The sequence below is a fragment of the Homo sapiens genome, chromosome 4 (assembly GCF_000001405.40).
Source record: "Homo sapiens chromosome 4, GRCh38.p14 Primary Assembly".
NCBI classification, from domain to species: Eukaryota; Metazoa; Chordata; class Mammalia; order Primates; family Hominidae; genus Homo; species Homo sapiens.
The window spans coordinates 23,991,588-24,010,802 of NC_000004.12; the positions used below are offsets into that span (position 1 = coordinate 23,991,588).

A 19,215-nucleotide genomic window follows, 5' to 3' on the forward strand; every position below is an offset into this window, starting at 1 on the left:
TCCTGCTCTTGAACTTGACCTGCATCATCTCAGCTTATCTCCCCAACAACCCTGCAAACTAATTTTAAGAGTTTCATTTGACCACTGAGAACACTGAGACTGGGACAGCTTAAATAAGTTGCTCAAAACATCACACTAACAAGAGGCATGGCAGAAATGTGAGCACAGGCTTCTGAAACCCATTGCCATGATCTCTCCTTTACACTCCAAGTGTTTCAACAACTAGAATGAAAATTTAACGTGTGATAAAGGTAAGAAGTCAAGACATAAAGAAAGAGGAACGAAAAGAAAAAAATAGCAAGAAATCTTAGCTGAGGAAGGCTGCAACCTCAAAGCACGAAACAGTTTGCATTAAGTTTCTAGTATCTAACAAGTTCCTGCTATCTCATTTTAGGCAAGAACAAAACATTTTACAGGTACTGCATTTGGGAAGAAATTTACTTTGGGGTTCTTTTTTTTTATGACATTCACTGAACAACATAATAAATAATTATTGCATCAATTACTGCATTTTCCCTTTTTTCAAGTGGTCAGTCCTTAGGTAGTTTCAATCATATTTCCTTACATCTGTCCCATGGAAAACAGAACTCTCAGTCATTCCATTTATAGCTCTGCACTAGTACAGAAGGCAGGAACACACCAGGTTGTATTGCAGTTGATATTATGATTATTATCAGATAATATTATTACTAGTCTATACTATTATTATCAGATAATATTATTACTAGTCTATACTATTATTATCAGATAATATTATTACTATTCTATACTATTATTACTATTCTGTTTTTATTGCATGCCAAGCATTTTTCTGAGCACTGTACACATGATCTCATTTAGCCTACATAACACCCTGTAAAATGGGTATTATGTTTCTCAGGTAAAAATAATCAGAAAACTGGCACCTCGAGTAGTTATATAACTTGCCTACCAAGTTTGCACCCAAAAAAAACAGCCAAGTTGGGATTTGAACTCAAATCAGTTTGACACCAGGGCCCATCTTTTCAGACACAGCTAAATGAAGGATGCCTGGCTTTGTGATTGTTAATCGTACCTTTTGACAAGCTGCATGTTCCCATTTTAAAAGACTGATTGAAAGGCTCGATATAGCCCATTAATTTTATACCCACTTGTATCAAAATCCTTCAATTCCCTTTGCAGCTTTTCTGCTTTCATTTTAAACTCTTCTTCCCTCTGCTGCTCTTGTCCTCTATGTATACACATGGAAATGAAGTCTAGAGGCTCCTTCTAGCCAAATCTTTCAACATTTGAAGAGCCAATGAAAGCACAGTCTCTATGTTCAATTAAACACATTTAATTCACAAAGCACTTTCTGAAAAATTCAAAGAGCCTTAGGTACTTTTAATCAGATGTTCTTGGTAACTAAAATACCGCTTATGTTTAATTGTGATTCCCTTATATGATATCCTAATACTAGAATCTAAAGGAACTTGGCCCTACTATGTCCTTCCTTAAAAATCAAAGGCCACTAAAACAAACAAAGTAAAGCAAACAAAAAAAAGGGCAAACTCTGTGCACATAGTAATAAGAAAAAATTTTTAAAGCTATATTCTATGTCACCTCATTATAGAAACTAAATGGAACAATGATGTTATGTAACAATTATTGAGTATCTCTCTGTGCCAGGTAATGCAATAAGTGTCTTACATAGATTATCTCTTCCTTTGACACTGAATCATAATGTCAGACAATGACGGAACAGAAAAGTAGATTTAACCCCTGTAATGTATAGAGAAGATGACAAATGAAGACAGAGTAGAAAGTAAGTGTACTAGAGCAACAGAGGAAGATAAATTGCTGACATCTAATGATCCCACATCAGAAAGTGTTTACCAACTTCCTCCATGAAGTGAGATTAATGGTTAAAAACAAATTCATATTTTCAATAGTGTGTTTGAAATTAGTCATGCTCTGCTTGTTGTAGGTCCTCAAAATATTCTGTTCATAGTTTCACTTCATGAGCCAGGGCCCATTATCATCAGCCCCATTTTGCAGATGTTGAAACTGAGGCGTGGAAAAGGTAAACAACTTGCCCAAAGACACACAGCTCAGCTCATCAGGGCTACAGGCAGGGTTTGAACCAAGCTCCAAGTCCAAGCTATTGACAACTACACTTAAAGGCTCTTGGGATTGCTCATTACTTACCAATGAAATCACCAGGCTATTGGAAAGTCAGCAGGAATTTAGAGGATAGAAGGAAGAAAGCTTTCTTTTTTCCTAAACAGCACAGTAAAGGCACAATAGTTTCTTGAGTGACTAGGATGCCATTCAGTACTCTTAAGAGTAATTTTCTCAGTGGTATCCTAGGGGCTTAAAACAATCCATCAGACACTTTTTCCATCCTAAAGGGACTTCAATATTAAAAAGGTTGTCATTTGTGTTTGACAATTTCTTCTGAGGTTAAACAAAGAAAGAATAGAAGTTTCTAGGTAATGTGAATTGGAAATAAAATGTCCCAGCCTGCTCAGATATGCAGGCTATGAGGTAGCAATAAGCTGAGGATTTGAATCCCGGTCACCTCATGTCCAAGCAAAGGCTCTTTGTACTAATATTCTGGACATTTCCCTCTGTCCTGCTTAACAAGCCCATCCTGCCCTGTCTATGTAATTCCTGTGTTGTAGGAAGTAACCCGTTAAAGGCTCCTGAGCAGACTTGAAATGTTCTGAAGCTCTAGGAGCCCAGAGTTCTTTTGATCCCTCCTGGAAGATTCAGCAGAGAGACTTTAAAGTGTATCAGTAAGAAGGAACTACAGAAAGGGGCTGTTTTGTTTCCTGGGGTGAAAGCCTTCGAGGGGTTTGAGGAGAAAAGTGGTCTGTGGGGAAGTCAATCTTCCCACTAATAAAATAGGCTCTCCTGGTGGAAATAAACATTTCTGCATATTGGGCAGAGAAGGGGGGGCGGTGAGAAGAGCACACAACTAATATAGCACTAATAAAGGTCACATAGATAATACGTGACACTTTCAGGTTTCCATCTAGAGTCTGTCAGATTTCAAAGCCCACATTCCTTGCAATATGCCCCATTGCCTCAAGAGCAGGGATGCAGCAACAGACCAGAAGGAAGGATACAAGAGGCAAGAGCATGCAGGGAAAACAAATGCATAAAACATCATAAGAAAGAAAGAAGGCTGTAGGGCAAGGGAGGAAATTGGTCAGGCTTTGCAGGAAGGACCCCAAAGTCCTATCAGAAATGACAGTGACTAGACATCACCAAATGATGTTGATCATTGCAACATATATAGAAGATGACAATAGAAGCAAAGACGAATTCCAGTCAATCAACAGAGTAACAAAGAGACCATCTCAGACTTCAAATGTTTACCAACTCACTGCATGAAGAAGGATTGCTGAGCAAAAGGAACACATTTACGAGGGTATGTTTGAAATTGATGGTGTCCTACCTAAGTTGGCAGTTTAATATAACTTATTGTGAGTCTAAACTGTTTTCTACAATCAATCTCTTGTGGTGGCAAGTTCTAGTTAAAAACCCCCAGTGGTACTGACTGTATCAAAACTCATGTCAAGGTGAAGGCTGCAGACTAATAGAGTGCCCAAACAGGGACTGGTGGGTTTTGGTGGGTCCTGTTAATATCTTGGGCTACACAGTAGAAAATCACGTGGGAAAGTCACGCAGGTTGACTCCCTGAAAAAGAGAAACACACATGTACATGCACACATACATATCCCTCACGTGGGAGTCACTTGTTCAGACTTTCCCAGCTTGCCATGTGCTTATTCTCCTTGCAAGTATAATATTTCAGTTTACAGTTTCCTCTCTGACCTCCAAAATATTGTCTTCTTCTAAAGACTTGTTCACCATTTGATCATGTCACAGTCCTGCTTAATATCCCTCAGTGGTCCTCAGTAGCATGGGAGATAGAATTCAAATTCCCTCAGCTTTGCACATACAGGTCTTTGTGATTTTCTTTGTGAGCACCTCACATCACTCTCCAGAGACATCCAACTGCGTGTACCTCCTCTCACTCTGATACTTACATTTCTGTCACCTCCTTACAGTACACAGGCCTGGAACCCTCATTTCACCCTCCTCCATTGCACAAAGTTCTCAAGATTTAGCTAAAGAGTTCCTTCTGTGGGGGAAGTCTTCGATGACCTCCCAGGGAAGGGGCCAGGCTCTCTAGGAGCCTCCCCATGAGCCCACCCTTTCCTTCCTTCCTCATCCTGATTGTCATTTACCTGCTTGTTCCTCTAGTAGACTATAGGAAGGAAATGAGCCATATTTAGTTTTATATGTTCATTGATTAGCTGAATAAATCCATAAAGAATCCCTTTTAGCAACACAGAATGCTTCAGAAGAAAAAGTAAATTCTCACCAGCCTTCCAAAGGACACCTGACAGTAAGCCAAATCCAGAAGATTCTCAACAGTGCAAAGAATGTCATCCTAGAAATTCTTAGCGATGCTAAGGGGAAAACAGGCTCTTTTCATCTTCAGGGGATAGTAGTGAAAGGGCAATTCTTAGTTGCCCAGACATTGTAGCTTGTAAGCACTTTCACAGCTATGATGGCATCTCCTACCTTTGATTAACGGGAGGTGATGGAGACTAACTACAACTGAATTTTGACTGGTACTTTTCCTATGTTTTGTCACCTAACAACCTCATGCAGTAAGCAGCTCCCCCATTATAATGCAAAGTCCCAAGTCACATGGAAATTGAGGAGTGGTCATGATCCCAATTCAGGTATGATGCTGGGGAAAATGAAGATCTTTACACAATATAGCGGCTTCTGCAGGTGAGAAAAGTCCCCCTATCCATTCGTCTTACCTTCTTTCAATCAAAAATGACTTCCCAGTCAGAACTGCAGAACAGAATACCCCATGAAGCAAGTTTGCTGCTTCTTGTTGCCAGGGCCAGTCAGATCTGATCAAAGCCTAAAAGATCATCTCACAGGGCCTGGCTGGGGAGTAGGCTTTGAGTTCTTCCTCTGCTACGTACTTCCCCTACTCTCTCCTCTCCCAACCCCACTCTGTTTCTCTTGAAAACACTTCCTAATGTGTCTGTTTCTACAAAAAAAGAAAAGCCTAGATACAGGAAACCTATAAAGATTTAGGCCAAACGTCAGCAAACCCTTTCTGTAAAGGGCCAAAGAGCCAATATTTTAGGTATACAATCACAACTACTCAACTCTGCCATTGCAGCATTAATGCCCCCATTGGCAATACATAAATGAATATGCATGACTTTATTCCAATAAAACTTTATTAACAAAAACCGGTGGCCAAGCGGATTTGACAATGAGTGCTAGTTTGCCAACACCCAGTCTAGGTGAAGGACAGTAATTAAACTTCATCTCTTGTGCCAGCTTTGATCAATGAGTATTTGGTTTCCTGGAGTTTGGTGTTCATTAAGACTCAGAAGGCTGCAAGCTCTGTAGGAAAGATGCTATGATCAATTAGTGATGTCTGCTCTGGGTGTCAGAAGAATCATGGTAGTATATGTGCCATATTTGCCATCTTCTGGTTAAGATTTGAGTGTGCATATAAAGACGCCATGAAACAATAGTTTCCAAGTAGCCTGAGACCCACCAAAGCTGAACAATCACCAATGTGCCATTCTGCCACTGTCTCTTTCCCTTGTAAGCTTCATGTCTTTTTTTATTCTAAATAGTTCAGAAATCAGGAACACATGATTTGGAAAAAAAGAAGGAAGGCAAAACGTCTATCTATGGACAGAATCTAAAAGTAAATCATGCATTGAGAAGTTGGATTAGGTAAAAATCCTTTTTTTTATCTAAGGTTTGTATGTCAGATTACCTAGGATTACAGGATTAAGAGGCATCCTGTTCTCTCTGTAGCAAAAGCAACTGTAGCAGGCAAGAATTTTCTTTAAACAAATTCACCCTTAATAAATATATATGCCAAGAAAGCCCTTTTTTTTTTTTTTTTTTTTTTGGCGATGGAGTCTCACTCTGTCACCCACGCTAGAGGGCAGTGGCATGATCTCAGCTCACTGCAACCTCCACCTCCTGGGTTCAAGCATTTCTCGTGCTCAGCCTCCCGAGTAGCTGGTACTACAGGTGCACACCACCACACCAGGCTAAGTTTTCGTATTTTAGTAGAGACAGGTTTGCCCAGGGTGGTCTTGAACTCCGAAGCTCAGGCAATCCACCTGCCTCAGCCTCCCAAAGTGCTGGGATTACAGGCGTGAGCCACCGTGCCTGGCCAAAATCCCTTTCTATAAGCAGTGTTGTAGTTGGCAATAGAGATGGTTCAAGAAGAGTATTTTGAGTTAATATTGAACTTGCAAGTAAATACATAAAGCTTCAGTGCCATAAAGCTAATTTAAAAGGGACATTTCTCTTTATCGTTCCCTGGAGTATTACAGACTAGATCTATGATATTCTTCGGCCATAATGTAGGATTCATTAAGGAACTGAAGCCATAATTGTCTACATCAGTACATATGAATCAACTGGATAAATCGTCCAAATGAATTGGCTAATACGACCTCAGTTCTTGTTATGAAGTTCTCCACATGACCCCTGGCAGGTGGACAGAAAACTGAGGACTGAATTTTAACTGTAAGAATATCAGAGAAGGGAATTCAAAGGGAATTTGCAAAGCATGATAATTTGTATACACATAAGACAATTTCTACCTCACAATTTTATCCCTTCAGAGTGGAAAATGATTAAATACATGAAATCACACACATATAAAATACACATATGTGTCTTTTTAAGATTTATGTAATAATTATGTATATTGCTTATTGCAGTCAATATTACCTTTCTCTTTATATCAATAAGGGAAAATTTAATTTCACTAGAAAAGTATGTATCATATAACGGCAAACCTACGGCAATTTTTTTTTTTAGCCATCATGTTTCTACAATTTCTTGTCTGTACAATGTCAGGATAAAGTATCAAAGAGAGAGTAAAGTAAGAGCTATGCAAAATGATATCTTCTTAATTAAGCAATGGTAGGTCACATGATAACAGGAAACCTAGAATAACACAACCTTTACACTAAACTCAGCATCTAATTTACTGACAACAATTTTGGAAGAGTCAGAAAAGTTAGAGTACATGGGCCAGATATAGATATAATTTTGTCTCTTTAAAATTTCTGTGCATTATCATTCATAAAATATGTATGGCTTTATTGACTTCCTAGGGAGAACAAGAGGTTGCTTCCCTTCAGAATATAAAAAGCCAGGGAAAACTTGAAGAGTCAATAGCTCTCATACTAAATGCCATGGTAGCTTGGTGAGTGGCCTATATTTGAACGTTTTGATCTCCCTTAGTTGTTGTCAAGTTTGAGGACTGTTTCAATGATTAAAATTCCAAATGGGATACTGTGACTAAAATCAGAAATGTAGACGCTTGATTTATTACGTGTCATGCACATTGAGATCAATCTTATGAATACATATTTATTTATTACAATAAAAAGAGGAATCTGTGATAACAAGGAACTCTGGAGATTCTTTTGCCTATGTTTCGTTTGGGCTGGTTACAGACAACAAAGAAAACAGCATATGTAGTACTCCTAGCAAGTGCATATCTACGAGAATACCAAGGGCCTCTTCCTGAGTGCCTTTATAAGCCACGGTATTCCCTACACTCTTCTGTGGAAGTTATCGCTGTATTAGATGTTGTTGAACATATTTGATATGAAAGCATTGTCTGTTTGCTACCAGTATCTAAGGAGTCTCTCCCCCAGAGTTGCCAGCAAGGTGCTGATTAATTAACTGAAGTAGTGAAGCTGAATCGTACAACAGCTGTTTAGAGAATTGTCATTAACTTGGTCTCCTTTCCTGTCTATTAGCTTTCTTGCAGTGAGCCCACTAAAATGCAAATCTTGGAAACTCAGCATTAGACTCTACCTTAACCTCTGTGCCCTGTTTGATGCCAAAAAGATGTGAATGGTCTGGGTTGATTTTTTGTTGTTGTTGTTGTTGTTTTAAGGGAAATAAGACGAAGAAACAAGAATGGAGAGAAGCGAAGCCAAAAGAAGTTGGAAAAGGGATTTTGGAAACTTCTTAGAAGTCACAGTCTGCCTTGTCACTTGTCATTGGCAGGTAACGAGAGGACAGCCCTTTGGGCTGAATGTCAAAATGGGAATTGCAGATATCCTAAGCTTATTGAACGGTCGGCTATCTGACGATCTTTTCCTGGGACCTCCTTGCACGGGAAAGAAAAAGGCACTCTGTGATGGGGAGAGACGACAGAAAGGAGCAGCATGGAGAGGTAGACGCAGCCGCCCCTCTGGAATGAGGACAGTTGGTGAAGGACTCCAACGTGTAGACCTCAGCTGCCCCAAGAACAAGGATGATTATTCAGAGGAGTGGAATCTATATTAAGTGGCAGATTGGAGGGAGGGTCGAGTTGATGAGACGCAAGCACGTCATTAAAATGCTCTCGGGTGAGGCACAGTGACTCAGAGCGAATAAAAATGATAGGTTTCAAATCTTTCCTTCCTTCTTTCCTACCTTCCTTACTTCCCTCCTTCCTTTATTCTTTTCATTTTCCTTTCTTTTTTCTTTCATATATATGTTTAAGTCTACCTGCAGATTTTGTGAATGACAACAATGTCTTCCACATTCAGGCCAACGAAATTACTTCATAACAGAGGCTGTCACCGTTTCATCCTAGGTATCACTTGATAACTCCACTAAGCTCTGCTTATTCCCTCTGACATGAATCTCAGAGACTTGGTACCAGAAAGCTCAGATGTTAACACCTTCTGTTGCTATAACAGTTACCCCTTGCAATTTCATTTGCCTCGGCACTCCTTCACACTGGTCTCACTTTATAAAACAGCTAAGGAATTTTCAACTCAGAAAAAAGTACAAATTAAACACGTGCTTAAATAGCACATAATGGGGTCATCAGGGCATATAATAAAAAAATCCAAATACATCTTAAAAATGCAGCAGGTGCTTTTTTTTAATGAAGCAGATAAATGCAGAAAAGAATGCACTGATACAGACAGAGCATCTGCCTCATGATAAAATTAAGTCTTGTGACAGAAATAAATCACTGTGGGGGAGAATGTAACCCATTATCCAATAGGATTTTTTCTTTTTTTCTTACGTGACAGGACTTATTGGATTCCCTGACGCTAGGCAGCTAAGTGCATCCACGATTTGATGATAAATCAGAAAGACTGCAGGATTTGAAATTTAACAACTACTTATTTTTCTGTGATATAGAGATAAGGGGAAAATTTCAGTGAGTAACTATTAAATTGGGAATCTCCTTTTCTTTTCTGATAATCTGATCCTCTGGTACTATGTCACATCATCACACAATGCCAACAACCAGCAGTGAGCAAAATAGATTTTGGACTAAGATGAATAAGGGAGCTACTTATCTTTCCTTTTCTTTTCCAATATTCAGTTTTATCTAAAGAGTACTATAGAAAGGTTACTTTTGACATAAAAATATACTGCTCTTATTACACTTTCCTTTTTATCCCCTTCAATACTTTAAAAAATGGCAATAAAGGCATGTTTTTCTTTTTAAAACATTTTCATGTTTGAACAATAGAAAAGGAAAATCCATATATCATGTTAAAAATACACAGGAACTAATAGAGCTCAAGATTACCTTACCATGTTTGATAAATGTGACTTGCAAAAACACACCTTCATGTTTTAATGATTTTCTTTGTTATAATATGCTATTAATTGGTGGAAGTGGGGAGGAAATAATTCACATCTTCAAGATGCACCTTTATTTTTCCACGTTGAATCTGTGTAGCACCTTGAGTGCTTTGCTGACACTGGCACCTATCACAAGCTCTCCTACCGAACTATATAGATTGCCCTTGTAAGAAACAGAGAGAGCAAACTCAAATGATTTTTTTTTCTCCTGGTAATTTTTTTAAGTGAGAACGTCTTCAAAAACCTGATCCATTGTGTAAAAACATAGCAACAATTTAGCAACTGACATCCCAGCAGAAATAGTGTATTTTTGTGCCAAGGTATATTTCAAAAGCCAAACCAGAATCCCTTTTCTTGTAAACTAAATCAAGCTCACTATAAAGCTCCTATCACTGATTTTTTTTTCCTACATCTTGTCTTGTGAAGGGGCGAAGGTGGGGTTGGAAAGAGAGGTATTAAACATTGATCACTGGTAATTACGGTAATCTCCTTCAGGAGCTTTAACTGCTACAAACTCATCCTGTCTTCAGAGAGAGCTAACTCCATGTGACAACACAAGGAAAGCTGTTAAAGAACTGTAAACTCCTGCAGCTGGGTACCAGCCTTTAATTAGACTGTGGCACCGAAACAGACGTTCTTCAAGTACCCAGAGAGATATAATGAGTCTATTAGTCCAAGAAGTAAGAGATATAATCGGCCAAATCATACATCTATCAAAAACATACCAAGAAATGGGGGAAGGGCACAGAGAATCAGCCAAACATCCTGGCCGTCAGGAAGTCATTGAATGTGGCTTGTAATTCTGTTTCACACAAATTGGATGATAAATTCACACACACACACACACACACACACACACAGAGAGAGAGAGAGAGAGAGAGAGAGAGAACTTGAAGACAAACATTTCTGGAAGTGGAAGTGCCTGGAAACCAGGCTGGAGTGCAGTGGCACGATCTCAGCTCACTGCAATTTCTGCCTCCTGGGGTTCAAGCCATTCTCCTGCCTCAGCCTCCAGAGTAGCTGGGATGACAAGCATGCGCCACCACACCCAGCTGACTTTTGTATTTTTAGTAGAGACAGAGTTTCACTATGTTGGCCAGGATGGTCTCGATCTCCTGACCTCGAGATCTGCCCGCCTTGGCCTCTCAAAGTGCTGGGATTACAGGTGTGAGCCACTGCACCCAGCCACACCTCTCTATGCTTTAAAAATTCAGTTTGACCTGACTCATTACTTCTAGGGAACAGGAATTACTAATCTCCTTGCAATGTGCTATTGAAACAGCCGCAAAGGTTTAAAAAGAAGAATCAAGCAAGAGATCCTGGCATAATCCCAGCGTTAATTATGGTTCTCAAAAGTGCATGCTGCTTTTTTTTTTTTTTTTAAGCAACGATGACAATATTTTCCTAGCTTTGCTTTCCACAAAAACACAAACAAAAAGAACTAGACACAATATTGACTTGGCAAGTTCTCCATGGGAACCTCAAGATAAAGGACCAGAAAATGCACCTTGTAGTGTCCTTCATTAAATGCCACTGTTTCACTGTTTGGATTCAGCTACTTGGCATGCCACGTATGCCCACTAGTGTCCCACTTTTGTTTGCTGTGACTTGTGCCAGTCATACATGCTAAACACAGTTCTGTAAGGGACCCACATTAGATGAGACTGGGTCCACCTCACAGGATCTTGAATTTTTTCCAAAGACAATTTGAATAATTTGAAATGTAAAACTGTGCTCATTACATTCTTGTGGATTTATTTAGTCTGATTCCTCTTCTCAGTCGCCCCAGAGAAATCCACTTTTATGATCACGAAAGGAATCATAGTCTTGTTTGAAAATTCAGGCCATGAATTAAAAGAAAAATGAAGTAAAAAGCCTCTCATTTTCCAGAAGTGAAAACTCTAAGAACCAGGGAGGTGGATGTGTTACCTACACCCACACAGCTGATTAGCAAGAGGGCCAATCTAGAACACACATCCTCTAATCCAGAGTGCAATATTCTTTCCACTACACGGTGAAACTTCAAGTTTTCTTACCCTCCAAGTGAACAGAACTGAAAGGGAAAATACCAAGGAAATCAAAGATATACTCCTTCAGCCTCTGGGAACTTAGTTGAATATATTTTTAACAATACCTAAGGCCTAAAAACAGATGTAGAATAGATGAAATAATAGAATTAGGACGAAAAAAATGTGCAGTCAAAGAAGATTGGCTTGAGGAAGAGGGCTAGATGTTGGGCTCAGAAATTAGTAAACACATCTGGAGTATTGCCCAGGCTGTGGGGATTAACTCAGCTGACACCGATTTCAGGTGTCAAGGAGCCAACCACACAGACATCTTCCCAGAAAGCATTTTAAGCATAAGACCAGTAAGTACAAAGACCCTGAAGTAGAAGTGAATTCCAGGAATAAGGAAAAGACCAGAGTGGCTGCAAAGAGCCGGCAGGGGGTAGGGTAGAGAGGAAGGCAGGGATCAGCTGCTGTAGGATATCTTACACCATGAAAAGGAATTTGGAATTTGTTTTGATAGCAACAGGAAGTGAATGAAGGGTTTAATGAAAAGAGGTGATAGGATCAGATTGATTTTTTTTTTTTTTCAAAAAAGATCACTCTGGCTGCAGTGTGAAGAATGGTTTGTACGATTGAGATAACACATACGAAAGTCCTTTTGAAGAAAAAATGGTAAGGCAAAATCTAAATGGAAACTGTAACTGTCATTATATAAACAGCAATGCAATCTTCAAAAATAATCATGCATTGAAGTTTTTCAAAGAATGTTAAAATTTGGCACTAGTCAGTCATATGGTTTGTCCATGTTCTGAAACACTGAGCAATAGATCTCTGAAACAGAGGCAAGATGAAACTGATGTTGGGCATCGTTGGCTTGAGTCATCATTGGAATTCACGCCATCTGTGTTGCTATAGCAGATTAAGAAAGCCCAAACTCGAACACAGGCAAGTCTCTGGTGCTCAAAGCTGCGACCATTTCAGAATTCTGCCACCTAAGCTTTCCCAGTTGAATAGAGAGGAAACAATACTTTTAAAAAGAAAAGTCCAAACATCCTCCTGTTTCAAAAAGAAGTGGCATGAATGAACTGAGAAACAGAAAAAACACAGCTTCTGCATTGAGAAGGCACAACACTCCGTGACTTTAGAGATCAAAGTCCACATCAGTTGGGATGATTAAAACCCAATTACTGACTTTCTGCAATGAAAAAGTAGTAAAGTCTTGTACCACAGATAAATCCAAACTGATTAATATTATTCTGCCAATCTCCACTCAGTTTCAGTAGTGACCATACACCATTAACCTAAAGCAAATTTCACCTCTAAGGTGGCTGCTGATGATAAATTTCCAAGGATGTTCAGATAAGACAGAAAATGAAGGGGACAGTTTATAAGTGTCTTTTAGGAAATCACTGATTTTGTTACTGGTCTTCGGTAAAAGCTAAATAATTCAACAGTTGAAGAACAACACGAGCCACACGTTATGAAAAATTGGAGTTCTTGGGTTCAAAAAGGCAAATTACTAGAAGAATGCCAGGCTTCATAAAGAGACAGATTTGAGTTTGAATCCTGGCTCTCCTCCTTGCTATTTGAGTGACTTGTGGATCTTTATAAATGAAAGTCTTATTGATCATCACAGCTGTTTGATGAGAGGGTTAAAACAGGGTCATGTGTATAAGGCCCATTGTAGGTACGCAAGAAATGTTCATTCCATACTAACTTACCTCATCCCTTTTTTCCCAAGGGCTTTCCAAAAGGATTTATGACTTGGAAAGACTCCACCTGCTTATAAAAACAGAGATGAGGTCTTCAAGGGGGTGGGAATCCTTAAGACAGGTCCTTGAAGAAATATCCTAGGTCCCTAGGTTATTCCTAAGAAAGGATTTAAATTTTAAAAGCAGCAATAAAGGGTCTCGAAGCTAGTGGCTTAAAGAAAATTACAAGCACTAAACTTGTAAGAGAATGCATATTTATATTTTTATATATGTGAAATAAATGCAGAGCTTTTGAAAGAAAAAAAAAGATATGAGTCAAAAAGTTTTGTACAACTCACAAGTCAGAGTAAATAGAAACTTAAAATAGGGCTTAGGAATCTATTGTCCCGGGCATGGTTAAGAATGAAAGTCAGCATGGTAGTCTGGAGAGTTGGAAATGGTAGCCTACCAACCCCTACCAGCTGGATAACCTTTAGTAAATTATCCCAACCCCGTCCCCTTGAAAGTCTGCTAATCTGTTAAATGAGCTAATTAGCTGAGACAATCCCTACAGATCCTGTCAGATCCAGCATTTTTATACTTCTCTGGCTCCAAGATCACGGAATGTAAGACAGCAGCGTTCACTGTCACATTATTCAGATTTTCATTTCTAGACACAACTGGAGGTTTCCATATTTGAGGAGCTACACCAAGGCCAACGGAAAGGATTGAGGTGAAAAGAACAAATGCCAAGAATGATGAAACAATAAAACCGAAGGGGAGAAGAGGCAGAGGACATCACTTGGGCATAGTGACCGGCTCTGAACATGTGTTGATTGGCAAAAAAAAAAGATGGAGCAGAATCAAGGGAGGAACATGGGGAAGAACAAACCCAGAAATCTTATGATTCCATTATTATACAGGGTCGGGGGCTCAGATTAAGTGTGGGAGTTGGAAGATTCTTGGCGACATGTAATGCACTGAGCCTCATGGGGTGACACAGCTTGACAAGGTCATTCAGCTGGTTACAGATCCAGAACTAGATGCAAGATTCCTGATTTTTGACCACTTAGGGTTTTGTTTTTGGTTTTGTTTTTGTGTTGTTGTTGTTGGTTTTGTTTTGCTTTTTTGAGATGGAGTCTCACTCTGTCACCCAGGCTAGAGTGCAGTGGCCCAATCTGCTCACTGCAACCTCTACCTCCCGGGTTGAAGCAATTATCATGCCTCAGCCTCCTAAGTAGCTGGGATCATAGGTGTGCACCACCATGCCTGGCTAATTTTTGTATTTTTAGTAGAGACGGGGTTTCATCATGTTGGCCAGGCTGGTCTTGAACTCCTGACCTCAAGTGATCTGCCCACCTCAGCCTCCTGAAGTGCTAGAATTACTGGCATGAGGCACTGTGCCCGGCCAGTTTTCTTTCCATGGGGAGTTCTACTGATTGGATCCTAGAGCAAAGGCTGCAGCACCCATGTGGGGAAGGGAAGCTGAGAGTGTCACTGGTGAGAGCAAGAGCAATGACTTTGCAATTTATGAGTCTGCCCCTTAACATTGGCTCAAACCATTGTTAATCCATTCTTTTTCAGAGTAGCATGCTGCTGAAATAACCTCAGAAAGATGCACAAATATGCTGAAGGGAAAGAAAGGCTTGGACAGCTTTTTGGAAAACATTCTATACAGTTTGTAACTTGCTGGTCCTCTGGTTAGTACACACCATTGATAGCCACAATGTCTTTCTCCTGCCATATTGTAGCCTGCCCCTCATATGCCCAATTGCTTGAAAATTGAGTGTTACTGTTCACCAGTCAAGGATCTCGTGTGTAGCTAGATGTGCCTCAATTCACTTTACATTATCAGATGAAACCAAAAACCAACAAACAGCAACACTTCTGAGGTCTAAATGTAAAATCTGGTATGCAACAGCACCAACCCACATAGACTGCATTCTTCAACCCACCCTATATCCATTTGACTGTCAAGTTAGCTTATTTTTCCTAGATTTAATGTAATTTAATTCTAATGTGTATCAATTGTAAAATGGACATCTTTCCACATTGTGTCATCTATTATTTTGATGTCTAAAATTGGGAGGCATCTTATAATCAATAGTATGTCATAGTTTAATTGTCAGTGTTTTTTCTTCCTTAGTGATATATAAAGTAATTGTGTATCATAAAATTATGGAGTCTTAGAGTTAATGAAATACAGTATTTAAAGTAGAAATTGAGAGCCATTCCATCACGATCTTCTGTAGGTTCAAGAAAATGAACTGCCCATCTCGCTCTCTCTCTTTCCTTTTCTTGCCCTCTCTCACACTTTTTCATTCTTTTATTCTTTCCTTAATTAAACTAGGATTTATCAAATGCCCACTCAGTGACAAGTGCTACTCTAAGCACTGAAGATGACATAATGAGCAGAAACAGATGTGGCCCTTGTCCTCATTAAGCTTATCACCTACTAGAGATAGAAATATATTGATTGAACAGCACAAAATCAAACTACAAATATAGTAAAGGACTCCATGGAGAGGTGCACGGTGCTATGAAGGAGCACAGGGTAATGACCTAGTTAGGAAGATTTCCCTGAGAAAGTGAAGAATGAGTAGAGATGAGAGGAAGTGACAGAGGTTGAAGGCAGGGCATTTTGTGCAGAAGGAATTTAGGATCCAAAGGTTTTTTGGCAGATTTAAGTATAGCTTTGAGAAGGCCACATCCCTGGAGCCCAAAGAACATGGGAGGCACAGATGTGAGATGAGATAGGGAGGGAGGGAGTCCAACCATGGCAGGGCTCTGTCTTTATCTTAAGAACAATCTGGAGGCAAAGGGGAGGTTGGGAAAGGTAAATGCTCAGATTAAAACCAGCATTCTGGATGCTAGGCGGGTTCCTTGGAGGGTGCAGGTTAGGAGGCTAGTGCAGTGGTCCAGTCGAGAACTGATAGGGACATAGAAACTCAGAGCTGCCCTCTCTCTCTCCACCGGCTCAGTGTGCAGCTCTCAGCTCTGCAGTGCAGCCATTCCGTCGTCTCCCGCTCCTTACACAGACTTTGCAGTGACATCTTGGGAGCAATACCCAGAGAATGAGGTCAGAATATTCAATAAAGGTTCCTGCTGCAGATGAGAGAGAACCGTGAACAAAGCACGACAGAGAAGGGAGACTGGGAATGCACAAGGAGAGGAAGAGAACACAGCCCACACGGTCTGCCAGATCTCGCCCAGCTGGGAAGCTATTTGACCAGCCTGGACTCTGTCCTCTGAACTCTCCAGCACTGAGTCAACCTATTGTACCCCTGGCTTGATCCTCATTAGATGCACTGAAGATCTCGCAACCAACTTGGGGAAGATAAAAGTTTATTTGAAGCCTGAAGAAAAAGAGCTCTTTATTTAAAGGAAACAGAAAAGATCCTTAGGAGCTTTTTTTCCCCCTTGGCAGATATTGACTTACAAACTGATCTTATTCCACTGGTTGGGATATATCTATTTTCAGTCCTTGTACATCTACCCTGTGAATTGCGATTTGATGAAGCCATACGAACAACTAATAAAGTCTCAGTGTAAAAATGCTATATGTTCTTAGGAAGGGAAAACATAAAACTTCAATCCATGGTTTATTAAAATCCCTAGGTAAGCACAGTTTACAAAGCTAAACGCCAATACCTATAATTCACCCCATGATAACGTTAGCCATAGAGTAACTGCTATCTCTAACTGCATTCAAGTTTGGTTGCCCTTCAGAAGTACTGAAAATCTAACTCCTAATGGCTTTTGATATAAAAAAAAAAAACAGTCTTTGATTGACAGAATCTAATCACTAGAAGGGCAGCAAACAAAAGCTGGGAAAAGCACAGTTCCCTGTTAATTTTGTTTTTCCTTGCAACATCTATAGGCATCTGATCACACAGTTGTGCAATTATTTGCTAACTGAAGATGTTATTATTCTGTTACTGTCTTAGAAAAATAGTAACCTTTCTCAGCAAAGATAAAAATATGTGGGTTCTTTTCCCGCGGTTTATATATCTTAAATCTTAGGTCATTTTTACAGCAGCTCTCTCCTCAACTCTCCCACCATTTATCTTTCCATTCTCAGCAAGGGCTAGTTTACTTAATACAGGAAGACCTTCACATAACTTTCTGGCATTAATTATTATGGTGGCACAAACTCCCGTGTGAAATATTTGCTGCAATGTGTCCCGCAGTCTATAAAAAAAAAAAAAAAAAAGAGAGAGAAGGCAAAACATTCCTGATGATTATTCATTATTTTATATCAATTTTACATAATTAATTGAGAATTTTATTATAAAGCACAGGGCCCCTTCTGTGCGATCTTACGTTAATAAGCTAATATAAAGATTTTGAAACTGCGTCTGCAAGTAAAGGAGGCAAGAAAGAAAGATGGCCAAGTTTCTTCTGCAGGCTTCATTCTGAAAATAGGGTCTGATTTTATTCTTGTTAGAGGTGCCTTCTGATGATGGCATGAGGGTTATGAGGCAATGTGAGTGACATTAAAATAATATAGCCCTAAATGAAAACTAATAAGCAGCTCTAAAGAGTCAATCAGCCCATTAGGATGACAGGCAGTGAGAAGCTGCGCATTTCAGGGCTGACAATGTATTGCTAGTTTCTTTCTCATTCTCCTTTTAGTAACTACAAACAATTATCTGTAAACTTCCATTCTGAGAAGTGAAGTGGGTAAAACACAAGTTATGGTGAAGGTCTTAAGGGACAGTTTTGGGTGCAGCTTGACTGGAGGGAAACTGATGAGATCTCAGTTTCAGAACACAACAACATTGGAGTCTGCTTCGGAATCAGTGGCAACTTCCCACAAACAGGCTGTAGCTCTGGTCCCAGCAATGGGATATTTCCCTATTCATTCCCACCTTTATTGGGAGTAGCTGTGAAGTAAATTGGCTGAAGCTTGTCAGTTTAACCTGCTATTTTACACAGACCCACCCACACCTCCTCTTCTAATTCCTTCCCTGATACTCCCCTACCCAACCTTAGCATGTAGAAAAGCCATGGACCCTGTCACCAGACGCCTAGCATGATACCTCACACATAGAAACCTCTCAACAGATTAGACTAGATTAGTTGATTGGTTGGTTGAATAAGGGAATCAAAGAAAGACATTGGGAGGCTACATTGGTTCGGAAAGTGCCTCTGGATTTCATTAGACCTGCAGTCAAATATTGGCCTCTCCTATTATTAATACTGTGTTCTTAGGCAAGTCCTTAACCTCTCTAATCTTTAGTTTCCTCATTTACAAAATTAATATAATCATAATCTCTACCTCATAGAATTATAAATGGAATGACTTGTTCATATGTTCAATAAACTACTTATTCCAGTACCTAGAACACAATAGACCGCTCAATAGACAACCTTAGTTTTCAAGGTGGCTTTGTGCAGGATGAAGTATTTAAAGGAGGGAGTAATTCAGAAATACCCAGAAATACACAGAAAGTGTTTCCCATTGCTGCCACCATTTGTTCCCTCACTCGCTCCCCGGAGTCATCCATTCATTTAACAAATATTTATTAAATGCCGACCATATTCCTCTTCTGAGAAAAAGCACTGAATAAAAATAAATTTTTGCCCTCATAGAACTTATGTTCTAGTGGGAAGGACAGACCAAAAAAAAAATCAAGAATGTGTGACATGTCAGAAAGTAGTCATGCACATCAAACATTAATTCATTCATTTAACGTATATTTACTTTTGACTGCTTTCTATAAAAATATACATTAACACATTTTCTGATCACAGGGCAGTAGTTTTGATAAATATGTACCTAAACTATAAATCATGGAGAACAATAAGAACTTGAAACCGTTTACACAGCCTCCTCTGAGCAGACTACATTCCTGTAATAT

At 39.5% G+C, this 19,215-nt stretch overlaps 1 protein-coding gene across 15 annotated transcripts in view, besides 1 other annotated feature; it reads right to left on the reverse strand.

Annotated features, from left to right (window-relative positions):
• The window catches only part of PPARGC1A (PPARG coactivator 1 alpha), a 680,885-nt gene that overhangs the window by 199,567 nt on the left and 462,103 nt on the right, over positions 1 to 19,215 (reverse strand). The gene's annotated exons all lie outside the window — the stretch shown is intronic.
• Positions 7,635 to 8,834: an enhancer, noted in NCBI's record as "CDK7 strongly-dependent group 2 enhancer chr4:24000845-24002044 (GRCh37/hg19 assembly coordinates)". NCBI's record gives its function as "activates an origin of replication core promoter dependent on BRD2, BRD4, P300/CBP, MED14 and CDK7 cofactors, with strong dependence on CDK7, by STARR-seq in HCT116 cells {active_cell/tissue: HCT116}" and the evidence as "EXISTENCE:reporter gene assay evidence [ECO:0000049][PMID:35650434]".